General features: G+C 34.4%; 1 protein-coding gene across 1 annotated transcript in view; it reads right to left on the bottom strand.

The window, feature by feature from the left end:
* LOC105377864 (uncharacterized) overlaps positions 1-13,733 on the bottom strand; it is an 82,536-nt gene extending 68,803 nt beyond the window's left edge. Inside the window, exons 1-3 of the mRNA XM_047419660.1 lie at positions 13,647-13,733; positions 11,506-11,578; positions 7,210-7,267 (exon numbers count right to left, since the gene is read on the bottom strand). The gene's annotated coding sequence lies outside the window, so the exon portion shown is untranslated. The remainder of the gene's footprint in view (positions 1-7,209; positions 7,268-11,505; positions 11,579-13,646) is intronic.
* Between the last annotated feature and the right edge of the window lie 2,976 nt (positions 13,734-16,709).

Raw genomic sequence — 16,709 nt, 5'->3', positions numbered from 1 at the left:
CTCCTTTTACAGCTGTGTTAGCGTCAAGCTTTCTACCTAAGGAGAGTTTATTATGTAAGAAGAAAACAAAGCAAAACAAAATTCTGTTCTTTTAAGCTACGCTAGTTCTGTGCTCTATGCCAGCTGACTTTTGTTGTGCTCACTAAACAGCATCCTGACAGTTATCCACTCTGCTGTCTTTCACCTGATTTTGGAATCAAGCTAACTTTCATTTCACCTTCATCTCAAGGCCACTTCCACAAGGATGACTCTCATGTTCTTACCATAAAAGAGAAGTTCTCTTCAGCTGCCCTAGCCAAGTGCCGCCCACCTTTGTGCCTCATCTGAATGCAGTGTTTAATTTATGATTCTGTCTTCTTCACTAGCTAACTTCTTAAGGTCAGACATTATGCTTGGTATCAGGTGTAGGCCTGAAACTTCTTAGCTACACAGTAAATGGCTGTCAAAAAGGAAGTTAAAGCTTTTTTCTTTGTGTGTGTGTGTATATATATATATATAGAGAGAGAGAGAGAGAGCGTTTGTATTACTGCAATTTGTATTTGTTATATGCAACTATTTTTCAAGTAATCAGCTCGTAGAATATGGCTGTGTTGGCATATTTCACTTTTCTCAGCACTCTTGGAAATAGCTGAGATACTGGACAGGAATTATTGCCAGAGTTATATTAAATAGATTTAATTAAAACAACATTAATTCATTTCTTCTTTATGAAATTGGCAAGCCCACTCTTCCCATTTTGCCAAATTTTGGATATATATGTATTTTGTATCTAGAAACTAGTTTACAGAGCCTGAAGGTGTGGGAGAGCTTCCTGGACAGATTTTCTAAATGTTCTGCCTCCCTAAGTTCTTATGTGATAAATGGAATTGTCCTTCTGGGATCCATTTTGGAATCACTAAGTGCTCGCAGTTTGGCTGCCTGCATGATGCTAGGATGCTTTTATGACCATCCCAAACCCTCATGATTTTGCTGGAGAAGGGGTGAACTACTTTTCCTTTCTGCTGAAGTCCTCATCTTTTATTTCCATTACTAGAGACTACTTCCCATTTCACCTCCTCTTTAACTCCTGGATTGGCTTTTTTGAGAAGATAAAATGATCCTAAGGGATACCTCAAGTCTGGCAGCTCTCTAAAGGCAGTAACAGTAACTCCCAGAACAGGTCTTCTGAAATACCCTGAGGGACGTGGGAGGCTTCTGAAGTAGAGCATGGAAAGAGTGAAGGAATGACCAGTCTGCTGGTGTTTGCCTCCTCTTTTCTTGATTGTCATGTGTGGGTCCCTTTAGTGTTTGTATCTTCTTTAAGAGGCATGTAATACACAAACTGTGTCCATATAAGATTATGAACTTCATTGGTAAATGTTGTGTGTGTTCTGACTGCTGCTCCACCAACTGACTGGTCATGCCTGAATGTTCCTATTTCCTGAGACACAGCAACATTAGAGTTAAGCTAATTATTAACCCTACACTGGCCTCTAAGTGTTCAAGTGAAAGAGAGAGTCGCATGCCTCTCACTTTAAATTAAAAGGTAAAAATGATTACACTTAGTGAAGTGGGCATGTTGAAAGGTGAGACAGGCTGAAAGCTAGGCCTCTTGTACAAGACAGCGAAGTTGTGAATGCAAAGCAAAAGTTCTTGAAGGAAATTAAAAATGCTACTTGAATGAACACAAGAATGATAAGAGAGTGAAACAGCCTTATTGCTAATATGGATAAAGTTTGTGGGATCTGAATAGAAAATCAAACCAGCCACAATATTCCCTTAAGCCAGAGTATAATCCAGAGCCAGGTCCTAGCTATTTTCAATTCTATGAAGGCTGAGAGAGGTGAGGAAGTTGCAGACAAAGTTTGGAGCTAGCAGGGGTTGGTTCATGAAGTTTAAGAAAAGAAGCTGTCTTTATAAGATAAAATAGCAAGGTGAAGCAGCAAGTGCACATGGAGAAACTGCAGCAAGTTATCTGAAGATCTAGCTAAGATAATGGATGAAGATGACTACATTAAACAACAGATATTCACGGTAGATTTTTTTGAAAAAACCTTCTATTGAAAGAAGATGCCATCTAGCTAGAGAGAAGTCAATGCCTGGCTTCAAAGTTTTCGAGGACAGGTTTACTCTATTGTTAGGGACTAATGCCATTGGTGATTTTAACTGAAGACAGTTTTAATTTACCATCCTGAAAATTCTAGGACCCTTAAGAATTATGCTACATTTCTTCTGCCTGTGTTCCTCTAACAATGGAACAACAACCTGGATGACAGTGCATTTGTTTACAGCATGAGTTACTGGATATTTTAAGCCCACTGTTGAGACCTGCTGCTCAGAAGAAAAGATTTCTTTCAAAATATTACTTTTCATTGACAATGTACCTGGTCACCCAAGAGCTGTGGTAGAAATGTACAAGGAAATTAATGTTTTTTTTCTATGCCTTTTAACACAACATCCATTCTGTAGCTCATGGGTCAAGGGGCAATTTTGATATTCTAGTTTTATTACATACAAAATACATTATGTAAGACTATAGCTGCCACAGATAGTGATTCCTCTGATGGATGTGGGCGAAGTCAATTGAAAATCTCCTAGAAAGAATTCACCATTCTAGATGCTATTAAATACATTTTTAATTCATTGGAGAAGGTCAAAATGTGAACAGTAACAGGAGTTTGGAAGAAGTTGATTCCAACCCTCATGGATGAATTTCGGGGTTCAAGGGGGAAGAAGTCACTGCAGATATGGTGGAAATAGCAAGATAACTAGAATTAGAAGTAGAGACTGAAGATGTGACTGAATTGCTGCAAACTTTTTCATGATAAACGTAAATGCATGAGGATTTTTGTGAGGATCTTTTTTAATAAATGGGCAAAGAAAGTTGTTTGTTGAGATGGAATCTACTTCTGGTAAATATGCTGTGAACATTTTAGAAATTACAACAAAAGATGCAGAATATTACATAAACTTAGTTGATAAAGCAGTGACAGGATTGACTTGATTTTTGAAAGAAGTTCTGCTGTGGGTAAAATGCTATCAAAGAACATCACATTCTATAGATAAATCTTTTATTAAAGGAAGAGACAGTTGATACTGAAAACTTCATCTTGTCTTCTTTTTAAAAATTTCCGCAGCCACTACAGCCTTCAGCAACGACCATTCTGATCAGTCAGCAGCCATCAACATCAAGACAAGACCCTTCACCAGCAAAAAGATTACAACTCTCTGAAGGCTCAGATGATTATTAGCATTTTTTAGTAATAAGATAATTTTTAATTAAGGTAAATGCATTGCTTTTTAGATATAATGTTATTGCATACTTAATAGACTACAGTGTAGTGTAAACATAACTTTTATATGCACTAGGAAGCTAAAAAATGTGTGAGTTGCTTTGTTTCAATACTTGCCTTATTGTGGTGGTCTGGAGCTGAACATACAGTATCACCAATGTATGCCTATATCTGAATTATATTCAATTATGTCCCCAAAACAGCTATAGTAGGAGATGCTTCTATATGGTTAACAAGTTTAAAATTTAAAACCACAAGCACATTATTATAATAAATCAAATAATAACAGAAGGCTGATAATCAGAAAGAACTATTTTTATTTCATTCCTATTACTCAGAAGACCACACCTGACTGCAGTGCTGTGAGACCCGAGCAGAAATATTGTGGGATAACAAATGTATGTTGTACTAAGCCACAAGTTTGAGGTAATTTATTACACAGCAATAGAAGGCTAATACACATAGCAACTTGTTCTTATTTTGTGGATGGAATGTCTTCCTCATCATCCCCCTCTGAAGATACTAACAAGAGTTTTCTTTTGTTGCCCTCCATTACTTTCATTGGTTCTTTTATTAATTTAGGCTATTTCTTGAGTTAAAAGCTCTCTTCAAATAGAGGTAATTCTTTGTCTTTCTTAAATTTAGATGTGAGACACTAAAAAAGAGATCAGGTACCCAAATGATGCTTGTGACAAGTAAGTTTCCATTTGGGTAGGCAGAAGCAGATGTATGGAGATCTTTTCCCTGTTCCTATTGAATTTCTCCAACAGAGATATGTTTGAGCTCTGGCTAAGTGCTAATGACTGGCTACTAGAATTCCACTTGTGAGATGGCCAAGGAAGTCTGAGCATTTGACCATCTTATTGGCTATTATGAAAGACAGTTTATGGGAAGTCATTGTTTTGGACTAGCCTCCTGCACTTGGTCCCAGCAGACCAGAGCAAACCAAAGTGGAGTCACTAATGCTAAGTGGAAGGAGGTCCCAAAACAGACCTTTCAGTTTTTCCTGAAAGCAGGACGTTGACACCAAACAATCAGAAAGAACTTATTCTACTTAAGTCAGCATAATAAGAAAACCAGCTCCATTTTAACCCTTACAAAGAAAGTGACCAACAGTGACCTGTTAACCAACCCCACTTTAAAAAATTGAGGTTTCCTTAAAAAAACCAACCATTCTATAATGTCCAGTGGAAAACCCATTCTATTTCATAGAATGAGAAGTTGACTGATTTTAGAATTGCTAATAAAAGACAATTCGATTTTTAAACTAAATTTATTTTAGTTTTGTCTTTTGACACCATCAATTAATTCCTATAATCAGCCCGAGGCCACATTTTTACTAGGACCATCTTCAGTTTAAATAGTTCAGAAAATACACCTCAGATCTCATCTTGTCTAGGAGTAGATGTTTGAATGCCAATGTTCTGTGTGTCTGTGCGTAGACACTTTATGTATTGACTTGCAACAAACTTTTGCAATGTGAAGCCTCAAAGCTGCTATTTGCTGTACCTATGGCTGGCCTCTGAGACCTTCTCTGGTCTTTGCCATAAATCAATTCTCTCCAATTTTGTGTTTCTTTCTATACACATATTAGATTATAGGATTCACAAATGTTGATGAATAATTAACATTTTAAAAACTGGAAATTAAGAGAAGAGAACAGCTAACATTAAAAAATTAGGATGGGGTCTAAAAATTGTGTTAAATCATTGTAACTTGGGAACCATCTGTATTAAATATTGTGCTGTGGAGCTTTACTAAGATTATTTTTTATTCATATGATATGTAAACTGCTGTTTACATTGCAGAAGCATTTACATTATAAGGGAGGAGAGAGTTAATTTATTTTATATGGTTTAGAATATGAAGCTGATAAATATTATTTTGCACACTCATGGTTTTGAGAGTGACTGCAAAATTTTGACTGACACTGGAGAGAATCAGTTGTCACAATTTCTCCCTTCTTTACAGGCCATTGTCTAGCTGTTGTCCAGCGGAAGGAAATTAAGTATTTATCTCAGGGCTTCTTTACCAGTGGCATCCAATGTTTGCCACCAACCATTTTCATTTTTTCACTGCTCATTGCTCCCGTCCACCCAAATGGCAGAATTCCTCATTTACAGAAGTGAAGCTGCTCTGCTTATGGAAACTCCCCTACTGAGTAGATAAATATCTCCATGCAGAGAGCTCATGTTAAGCAGCCCCCAGGTAGGGTTAGCATTTCATAATTGTACCTCCTCAACTTATAATGGGAGTTACATTCAGATAAACCCATTGTAAATTAAAAATTTCATAAGTTGAAAATCTGTTTAACACACCTAATCTACCAAACGTCATTGTTTAGCCTAGCCTACCTTAAACATGTTTAGAACACATACATTAGTCTACAATTGGGCAAAATCATCTAACACAAAGCCTATTTTATAATCAAGTGTTGAGTAACTCACAAAATTTATTAAATACTGTACTGAAAGTGAAAAACAAAAGGGTCATATGGGTAGTTGAGGTACGGTTTCTATTAAATATGTGTTGTTTCTGCACCATTGTAAAGTCTAAAAGTAGTAAGTTAAACCATCATAAATTAGGGACCTTCTGCATTAGGTATTGTCTCTGCCTGCTAGGTGAGGCAAAGATGAACAAAAGCAAATAAATGAAGTCTTAAAAATGTTGGAAAGGAATCTGGAAAGAAGCTATTTTTCTATATTAAGAATTCATAAATACATTAATAAGACAAATTCATAGGGGCTATGTTAAGAATGACATCAATATTAGAAATGTGAAAGACTCCTCATGCCCTTAGTCCTAAGTTCTAATGAAAACTACAGAAATTATAAATATATTATATACATGTGTGTATATATACAGAGAGAGAGAGAGAGGCATATACAGGTTAAACTATTACGAAAGTTATATAAATTAATAATGACATGTTAAATGGAAAGATCATATGAAAAAGGCGGGATTTGAGCAGAGTTTAATAATGTGCAATAAGTTACAAATATAGTGTGCTATTGCCCTATTCCTTTTGTGTGTAGATAAAATCTATGCCTTCATAACAAAGAACAAGAAAAGGATTCAGTTTATATTCAAAGATTCTGGAGGATATAGAAAAATTGACAATGACTGTTTCTAAATGACACATAGCTCATCATTATTTCCAAAGAGCTTTTAGACTTTGAGGAAATGTTCATCAAAATTATATGTAAACTGCTTACTTATTTCAACTATGTTTCTGGATTTTTAAAAATGTGATACAGCACTCACATTATTATTGCATTTTTGGAGGGAAGGAAAAAGCAATTATTATTATTAATATTAGTAATAAAAAACAGTTGTGATTGCAGAAAATAAGATCAGTAGAGGCAGCAGAAGTAAAAATCACATTTTATTTATTCATTGCACTCATTAAAATATGCCTATTGCAACAGCTTATGTGCATGTGTAAAAATATAAAAACTATAATTTTAAGTTAAAATATAAATGCTATAAGAATGTAATAAATATGGACAGAAGACAAATACATAGTACAAAAATATCCTAAATTCCCTTAGCACACTAGGTACTAAGAAAACCAGATTGGATGGTATATGATGTTACATAATTTCAAAAATATATTAATTAAGCTTCCACTATTCCCAAGAAAGAAAAAATATCTAAGCTTTTTCTCCCTTTTCATAAGTGATTTTGAGTTTTTCCTTTTTACATATGCCCAGAGGTATTCTGATGGGTTATTTTGAACATATACTATAAATATGTTCAAAATATATTTATAGAATATATTTATATTCTATAAATAGAATGAGATAATACCATGTATTTTTTCATGGGCTGAGAACCACGCTACTGAAAAAATATGTAAGGAAGATATAGTAACTATTATTTAGTGAAAAGATGAAAAATCTATTTTATCTACAAAATCTATAAAATATTCACTTACATAAGGTGAATTATCTTTTTCATGCAGCTTTGTGTATGTTTCCTCTTCTCTCAGTGACCTGAATAGCAATATCCAGACACCCCAAAGGTGCAAGTTAACATCATATCAGATGACAGTTTATTTCAGAACAATGTAATTTTACTTGTTAGGTTAAAGCTCTTCAAATGCTTGGGCAACTTTGCCAGTGACCTGACAAGCCTCAAATTAGTAATAGAAATAAATTATTTCACACATTACTTTGTTTTTTTTCTTTAATCCCATACTGGAACTGATTTTAAAATAGACACTTCAAACACAATTGCAGCTGACACCAAAAAAATGTAAAAAATCATTTATGGAGTCAAATGTGTTTACAACTAACCTTTTGCTTTTCTCTCATTTTATAAATACACAGCATACAGAGTACATGAGGCCATATGGAATAATGGAAAGTAACTGTAATAAAATTCCTTTTATATGAAAAATTTCTGTTGAGATATTTCTGTTCTTTTTTGCAAAAATTAATAACATATCTTGAATAAAAATATTTAATAATTGCTTCCTTACTATTATGGCTTTAGAATGCAATTAAAATGAATAGCTTCTTTTTTTTGTTTGTTTGTTTTCCAGAAATGTAATAATTGATACTCCCACTAGCAATGATAAGGACTCTCTTCTCACACCACATTCCCCAGTGTGGAGTATTATTTAGAAAACAAAGTACACTTTGTCAATTTGATTGGCAAAAAGTCTTATTTTTAAAAATTTGCCTATCTGTAATTACTAGTTGGTTAAAATTTTTATGTATATATTTTATATGAATTGCCTATTTTTATCATTAGCTTATATTTGCCATTACACTTATTTTTGTTTATAAAAATTCTTTCTATATTAAGTATATAAATCCTTTGCCATATTTTTTGCAAACTTTTAAAACAATTTTTTTTATTATACTTTAAGTTTTAGGGTACATGTGCACAACATGCAGGTTTGTTACATATGTATACATGTGCCATGTTGGGGTGCTGCACCCATTAACTTGGCATTTACATTAGATATATCTCCTAATGTTAACCCTCCCCCCTCCCCCCACCCCACAACAGGCCCCGGTGTGTGATGTTCCCCTTCCTGTGTCCATGTGTTCTCATTGTTCAATTCCCACCTATGAGTGACAACATGTGGTGTTTGGCTTTTTGTTCTTGCGATAGTTTGCTGAGAATGATGGTTTCCAGCTTCATCCATGTCCCTACAAAGGACATGAACTCATCATTTTTTATGGCTGTGTAGTATTCCATGGTGTATATGTGCCACATTTTCTTAATCCAGTCTATCATTATTGGACATTTGGGTTGGTTCCAAGTCTTTGCTATTGTGAATAGTGCTGCAATAAACATACATGTGCATGTGTCTTTATAGCAGCATGTTTTATAATCCTTTGGGTATATACCCAGTAATGGGATGGCTGGGTCAAATGGTATTTTTAGTTCTAGATCCCTGAGGAATCGCCATACTGACTTCCACAATGGTTGAACTAGTTTACAGTCCCACCAACAGTGTAAAAGTGTTCCTATTTCTCCATATCCTCTCCAGCACCTGTTGTTTCCTGACTTTTTAATGATTGCCATTCTAACTGGTGCGAGATGGTATCTCATTGTGGTTTTGATTTGCACTTCTCTGATGGCCAGTGATGATGAGCATTTTTTCATGTGTCTTTTGGCTGCATAAATGTCTTCTTTTGAGAAGTGTCTGTTCCTATCTTTCGCCCACTTTTTGATGGGGTTGTTTGTTTTTTCCCTGTAAATTTGTTTGAGTTCATTGTAGATTCTGGATATTAGCCCTTTGTCAGATGAGTAGATTGCAAAAATTTTCTCCCATTCTGTAGGTTGCCTGACTTGGAAATTAAGGTCCTATTTTGTGTATCTACCATTAGGAATCAATGACCTTTTTTTTGTATATAAAAAAAAACTATTGCATTAATGACCTGGTAGTTTTTAAAGTATATGAACTGTAACTTATTGGAAATTAATTTGACCAGATATCACTGGTGAATTAGCCTTTTATCTTATGATATATTCCATGTTTGAAAGTAACAGAAACTATTTCCTTAAATATAGTTGCTGTTTTATAAAATCTTATATAATTCAGAATTTTCACAGAGTCAGACTAGCCAACAACCCTGTTATTTCAAATTAATGAGTTTTTAAATTAATTTTACTTTTATTAATTCTAAAATATTTATGATGCTTTTCATATTCATCAGATCCTGTATATATGTGTTGAATGGAGCTCAGCCCTTTCTCTCAAAGAAATTTTTGTCTGGTTTGACATATGACAGGTAAATAAACAATTATAAACCAGTGTGATAAATGCAGTTACAAAGGGGCAAACAAAGTCCAGTGATGTACAGAAGGTGGAAAGTCAGGAATGTATCATAGGAGAATCAACTTTTATACTGAAATTTAAAGGTTGGGTAATTTGGATAAGCAATAGTTAAAAGAGCTTTCTACTCAAAGGAATCATATGGAAAGTCATTAAAAAATCAAAATAGAATTCTGAAGATACTTACATGAAATGATTAAAATTACTTATGAAGTCAAATTGAAATAATATCAGTTAATATTTATTTAACTGAGACTCTAAGGGCTAAGTTGAGATGAAATTCACATCAGAATTTTGTAGAATTAATGATGAAAGTCTTCTGACATCTTTAATTTAGACCAAAAGTATATCAATATCTCATAATTTATAAATATTTCATAATTTAAATGGATGTTCAAAATGGCAACAGAAGGGGAATAGGAGGTTTCAAGTACATAAAATAATAGGAAAGTGGAAAATAAGAAATAAGGCTCACTCTAATTTTTTTTATTACTATTATACTTTAAGTTCTGGGATACATGTGTAGAACGTGTAGGTTTGTTACATAGGTATGCACGTGCCATGGTGGGTTCCTGCACCCATCAACTTGTCATCTACATTAGGTATTTCTCCTAATGCTATCCACCCCACGATAGGCCCCAGTGTATGATGTTTCCCTCCCTGTGTCCATGTGCTCTCATTGTTCAACTCCCACTTATGAGTGAGAACATGTGGTGTTTGGTTTTCTGTTCCTGTGTTAGTTTGCTGAGAATGATGTTTTCCAGCTTCATCTATGTCCCTGCAAAGGACATGAACTCATCCTTTTTGTGGCTGCATAGTATTCCATGGTGTATATGGGCTCACCCTAATTTTAAAGCCAAAACATTTAACAACAGTAAAGAATCAAATTAAAAATCTAAAAGCAAACAATTAGCAACCTACAAAATGGGGGTTATATTTTCCTTCTTTTGTAGCTACTTCCAAATACTGTTGCATTCATAGACAAAGTGATGTTACACACTGTCTTAGTAACCAGGAATGCCCTAACCCATTGTTCTAACTGTCCTGCCGAGACATTGTTTTCTTAAAGGTATTCCTAGAAATCTTTCAAAATAGATATTTCTGAGAGTAGCTATCCAAACCAACTTCTAAATTAAAAGTAAATATTTCCTCCACCTTTATGTGACTCTTTGATGAAGCATCCTATATAGAGAAGCCAAATCTTTATTGACATTATTACGCAGCTTCAAATTTTAGTTTTTAGAGTGCATGCATAAGAATATGCACATGAGAGTAAAGGCTTTCTTGGGTTTAGTTCCTGGCTACCATTAACTCTGTGGTGATGGAGAAGCTACCTAGGTATTTGTTTCTATATTTGTAAAAAGAGAGACTGAGGAATACTTTAACCTATTAGACTGCTGTTTTAAAAGAACCATTGCATATAGACAATTTACCCGTATGCATGTTACATACAAAAAACTCAATAATATTAGCTGTTGTGAAAAATCATTATTGTTCTTAGTGTTCAGCTATAGATCAGAATAGATCCAGCAATAAAGTGGGCTGAAGTTTGTGTAATTTGAGGCCATGCATTAAAACATTGCAAAATATACTAAACTCAATAAAAAGATTATGTCAGTAAAAATGGAAAGGACCTCCAAATATTCTTCCCACATAAAAGTGATAAGAGTGGCAAAAATTTTCAGAATCTTTTTTAGAACTCTGGAAGTTAACCAAAGCCTTGCCAAAATCTGTAAAAACAGCTGAATCTAAGTAAGAAGAGTAAGCTTTATAGCAGTTTAACTTTTCTTATTTCCATACCCTATTGCCCAGTTCTATGGGAGTCTTAAAAGCAAACAGCCCACAATCACAGTGGAAACAGCAATTTGGCAGCTGTTAGCAGGGTACAATGGAGTTAGAGTTCCTCCAGATACCCATTCCTAATTATCACTATGTTACCTCACTGATGGATCTTGCTGGCAAGGTTGTTTTTACTTGACCTGACTTGAAGCAGGTCTCTTCCACAGAGCATCTGTCAAAAACAATCAGAGAAAACTGTTACATATTTTGACTGCCTGAGATGGCATTGAGAAGATATAATAATTATGTCTTGCACCTAGTATCAAAGTCCAAAATATAGGAAGCAAAACTGACAGAGCTAAAGGGGAAATGAACAATTCAACAATAATAGTTGGAGACTTCAATACCTCACTTTTGATATTATATAAAGTAACTAGACAGAAATAGGAGACTTGAACAACACTGTAAACTAACTACATTTAATAGTTATCTAATAGAAGGTTCCATCCAACAGAAGAATACACATTCTTTTCAAGTCCATAAAATGCTGTCCATGATAGACCATATTTAGTCTGTAAGACAAGTCTAAGTAAATGTCAAAGGATGAAAATAACACAAAGTATGTTCTCTGACCACAGTGGAATAAAATTAGAACTCAATGATGAAGGAAGTATGAGAAATTCACATATATGTGGAAATTAAATGACACACTCCTAAATAATCAGTACAGCAAAGAAGAAATCACAGGGAAATTTTAAAACACTTTGCTGTAAATAAAAACACAACATACTAAGGCTTATGGAAAGCAGAAAAAAGTGCTAAGGAAATTTGTAGCTATGAGTAGTCCAATGAAAATAAAGATGTCAATTCAACAACTTAAATTTCCACCTTCAAACACTAAAAATAAGAGAAAATTAACCCTGAAACAAAGCAAATATTAAAAATTGAAGACTACAGTAGGAATACAGGAAATAAATAATAGAACAATATAGAAAGCCAACAAAATCAAAATCCAGTTATTTAAAGAGATCAATAAAATTGACAAACCTTTAGGTAGAATGACCAAGAAAAAGCGAGAGACAGAGGGAGGCAGAAAAAGAGAGAGAGAAAAAAAGCGAAGTCAAGAATGAGAGAAGAAATGTTACAATGACCTCATTGAAGTAAGAAAGATTAAGGAATACTGGAACAATTGTATATCAGCCAAGTAGATAAACTAGATGAAATGAATACATTCCTAGAAAGACATCCAAATTACTGAAACTGACTCAAGAAGAAATTAAAAATTTGATTAAATTAGACAACGGAATTAAAAAGAAGAAAAAATTCTAAAAACCTGGTCTTATTTTATTTTCATTTGTTTCTTTCTCTAAATATACTGTGTATAATTTTTGTTTTAAAATCATGTTGGTAAATTGAATGGTCTGGTTAGTTGGGATCAAGCTAGTTTATGGGATAAAATGTCTCCCTTTATTGCTAGTCTGGACCATATGAATGACTACTCAAAAAGTTTTCTAATATTTTTTGAATGTTGGTATCGTGCTAGCTAGGAACAACATACCCGTATTTATGATTAGAAAAGGGATATCACCTTCATATTATTTCATTTTCAGGTATTATATTAAAAACACCAACAATAAACTCTTCTTTTTAGTTTTTATGGTAGGTACTTACTGTGTAGAAACTGATAAATATGTCATCATGGTAGTAACTCCTTATGGTAGCAGGAGTGATTTTTATTATGACATAAGCTGAGTACTTCTTCCAATTTAAATACATACTGTATAGTTTCTATTTGGCTCCTTACAGCATATTTGAAATTAATTCAAGTGCTCGTGAAACTCTACCTAGTGCTAATGAGAACATGATCAGTTACTCACATTTCCTTCAAATAAAGGCCCCAAAGCCAAAATTTTAAATATGGTGCCTGGACTAGATATATGCAGTTCATTAATCTAGTTTTTTTAGTTTTATATCATTATTTTTATTTTACTTTCAAAACTATGCCATCATGTGTCACTTTCCTCTCTGAGAAAAAAAATGATGATAGAAATGCATCTGAATGTCAATTCAGAATAGCAGATGATTATTCTCCAGTAGAAGTTTTATATTTCTCCTGAGTTTTATATTTCTATGTCCCTTTAGTGTGACCAGCTGACTGTAATTGCCACTTAGTGATTGGCCAGAAAGCTGTTATGTCAATCAATCAAACAAATAAATGGGTGAATTAATTAATATTTTTGTTGAAACCAATTTAAAAGAATTATAGCAAAGCAATTTTGATTTTCAACAGTCCTACTCACCATCTGCATTTGGTAAGACTCTTGACATTTGTCTGGGTTGCTAAGCAATAAATTCCTCTGCCATGACTCCTGAGTCCCTGGGATCACTCCATTATTTTGTCATTCAAGTATGTCACACTGCTTGGTGTGGGCCTCCAATTCCTGCACAGTCAGAAATATGGACCTGCTGTTTCTACAGTAGAAAAAGAGTAAATAAGAGAATTGTGGGACAGAAAGATGATTAAAAGACTGAGGAAGTAAGGCTACATAAGCCTCAGAATTTGGAGGATATACTTTTGAAAGAGAAGTCATCATAAGCTCAGAAGTTTCATCACTTTAAAAACGTAGTTAATTTTCACACCCAGCGGAAACTCACCACCACTGGGGTAGTTAAAGTAACTTTGTGATTTCAGCAACAGTTCTCATATAAAATACACTATGTTTTGTAAAAGCTTCTATCACATTTTCTATTTATCAGAGGATAGTCCTGATCATTTGATCATCAGATATGTTAGAGTCTTGACTTTAGTGAACACAGGAAAAGCTGGTGAGAATCCTTTGCTAATTTAAAGGTTTTGACAGTAGTCTGACTAGTTCAAGAAGCCTCCAACTATTAGGATGGTATATAAGTATTTACTGAAAATTGACTTTTAAAAAATGTTTTGTTTTGATGCCAGTGCTAGATTTTGTGAGACTATTTCTCTTTCTAACTATATTATGATATTGATACATAAAATGAGTAAGACTGTTTGAGCTATAGGAATAAAGAATGTATGATATGTAAATTTTTCTAAGCCTTCAATCAAAATCCTGTTCATCTATTTCAAATTAGTAACTTAGTACTTTGGAAGAACTAATTTAGATTACATAAAATAAATGGGTCTTGAAAAGATAAATTTGATCATATTAGGCAGAGCTGAGATGAAAAAGAATACAATTATCTCAACTTCCTAAACATATCTTCTTAGGTTGGTTTTTCTAGTATAAATACAAAATAGCCAGGGTTAGCACAGTTTCAAAGGTCATATTTAACTCAAAATCTTTTTCATCTTTAATGTAGGAATGGAACTAAATGCATTAAAGGAGATTTATCCAATATGGGAAATTCAGTGAAACCAAAGATAATCTGCAAAATGACCTTTGATTTCCTCTTTGTATATTACATTTTAATTTGTCTTAATGTAGCATGTTAAATAATAATCTAAAGACATTAAATTTCTGACATTCCTTAGCACTATGACAGTGAACCATCAGAGAAGTAAAGTGCATCTATGGAAAGAAATGACCAAAATGTGAAGTGACCTCAAGATCACATAGCCTGAAAGTATAAAGCTAGGATTCAGATCTACTCCTGACAGCCAGACCAGAGATGTTCATAGCATAATGCTTTCCATTATAGAATAATAAGTATCAGAATATTTTTATTTTTAAGCTAAAGTAACTGAGGCTCAGAGATGTAAAATGACTTACCCCCAGGAGGACCTTGGAATGGAGACTGGCATCCATATTTCCTGACTTTTATCCTGGTGCTCTGTCTTCTTATATCATCCAGATTCAGAGCAAATCCTCATTCTTCCTCCATTGTATTTTGAAGAATAAACATTATAGGAAAGAAAAAGTGAAAGCATTAGAATTTCACAATACTTTGGTACTAAAAATTTGGGCCAGTTTCTTGAATTGTTCAACCTTGAGTTATTTGTGTTTAATGAATTTCCCCTGCTGACTTTTTTTAAAGGTAACTCAGATATCTACTGGCTTCTCAGTCCTTGATTACAAGAAAGCAGGAGCTCAGTCTCATTTTTTAAGTATCCTTCAGCTATTTTATGATGCCCTAAAAGGGCTAGCACTTACATATGCACTTATGTATTTTGTCAGGTACAGTCTCTGTAAATGAAAATAACCCATAACAAGCATATATCATAATGCTTCACACATAAGTACACAGTAAATGATCATAATACTTCACACATAAGTACTCAATAAATGATGGAAATGAGGAATGATTATTTATTGATCACTTATGTGTGAAGCATTATGATGTATGCTTGTTATGGGTTATTTTCATGAATATCTTTTTAATATTGGTACCATATATGGTATAATATATGGTACCATATACCACAGGTACTATTAGCTCTCTCATTTGACAGGTGAGGAAACTGAAGCACAGTGCAGCTCAAGATTTTATAGCCATTACGTGGCAAAGCCAAGTTTAGATTCCTGACAGGCTGACTCTAGAGCTGATGCTCTTACTGTTGAAGTTCCACAGCAAACCTGCTATTCCCCTACTGTTCCACGTGCCACATGTTCCCACTTGTGACAAACTGAGTCATTTGAAATAGCTTTTGCACTTATATTAAGGTATGCAGTCTCCAAGTATTTGTCATGTTTCTAATTCTTAGCCATAACTGGATTATCACTCCATGACTGGAAGCCTCTATTCCAGCTCATGCTGCATTTAGTAATATGAGCCCCTAAAATACCTATGCACGTGTATATTTTTATAAAATGAACAATTGCAACATCTTCTCACCCTTTATTTCTTTTCTTTTCTTTTCTTTTTTTTTTTTTTTTTTGAGACGGAGTCTCGCTCTGTCACCCAGGCTGGAGTGCAGTGGCGCGATCTCGGCTCACTGAAAGCTCCGCCTCCCGGGTTCAGGCCATTCTCCTGCCTCAGCCTCCTGAGTAGCTGGGACTACAGGCGCCCACCACCACGCCTGGCTAATTTTTTATATTCTTAGTAGAGGCGGGGTTTCACCGTGTTAGCCAGGATGGTCTCGATCTCCTGACCTGGTGATCTGCCCGCCTAGGCCTCCCAAAGTGCTGGGATTACATGCGTGCGCCACTGTGCCCGGCCCCTTATTTCTTTTTCGCAGAAACTCAAACCAAGTGCAAGAGGCCATAGTGTAACCGAATGCAAGTCACGCTGCTTGCTGCTTGGAAGCCAAAACACAATACATGAGATGTGGTGAAAAGAAATCAGCTTTATTAATCAAATTCTAGCAGGTGAGAGATGGCCAGGCTCACTCCTCAAATAAACCATTTCCAGTTTTGAGCTGAAGGCAGGGATTTAAAAAGGGGAAC

Source organism: Homo sapiens, chromosome 6 (genome assembly GCF_000001405.40).
Source record: "Homo sapiens chromosome 6, GRCh38.p14 Primary Assembly".
Lineage (NCBI taxonomy): Eukaryota > Metazoa > Chordata > Mammalia > Primates > Hominidae > Homo > Homo sapiens.
The sequence above is the reverse complement of the archived record's forward strand: the minus strand, read 5'-3'. Positions and strand labels throughout refer to the sequence as shown.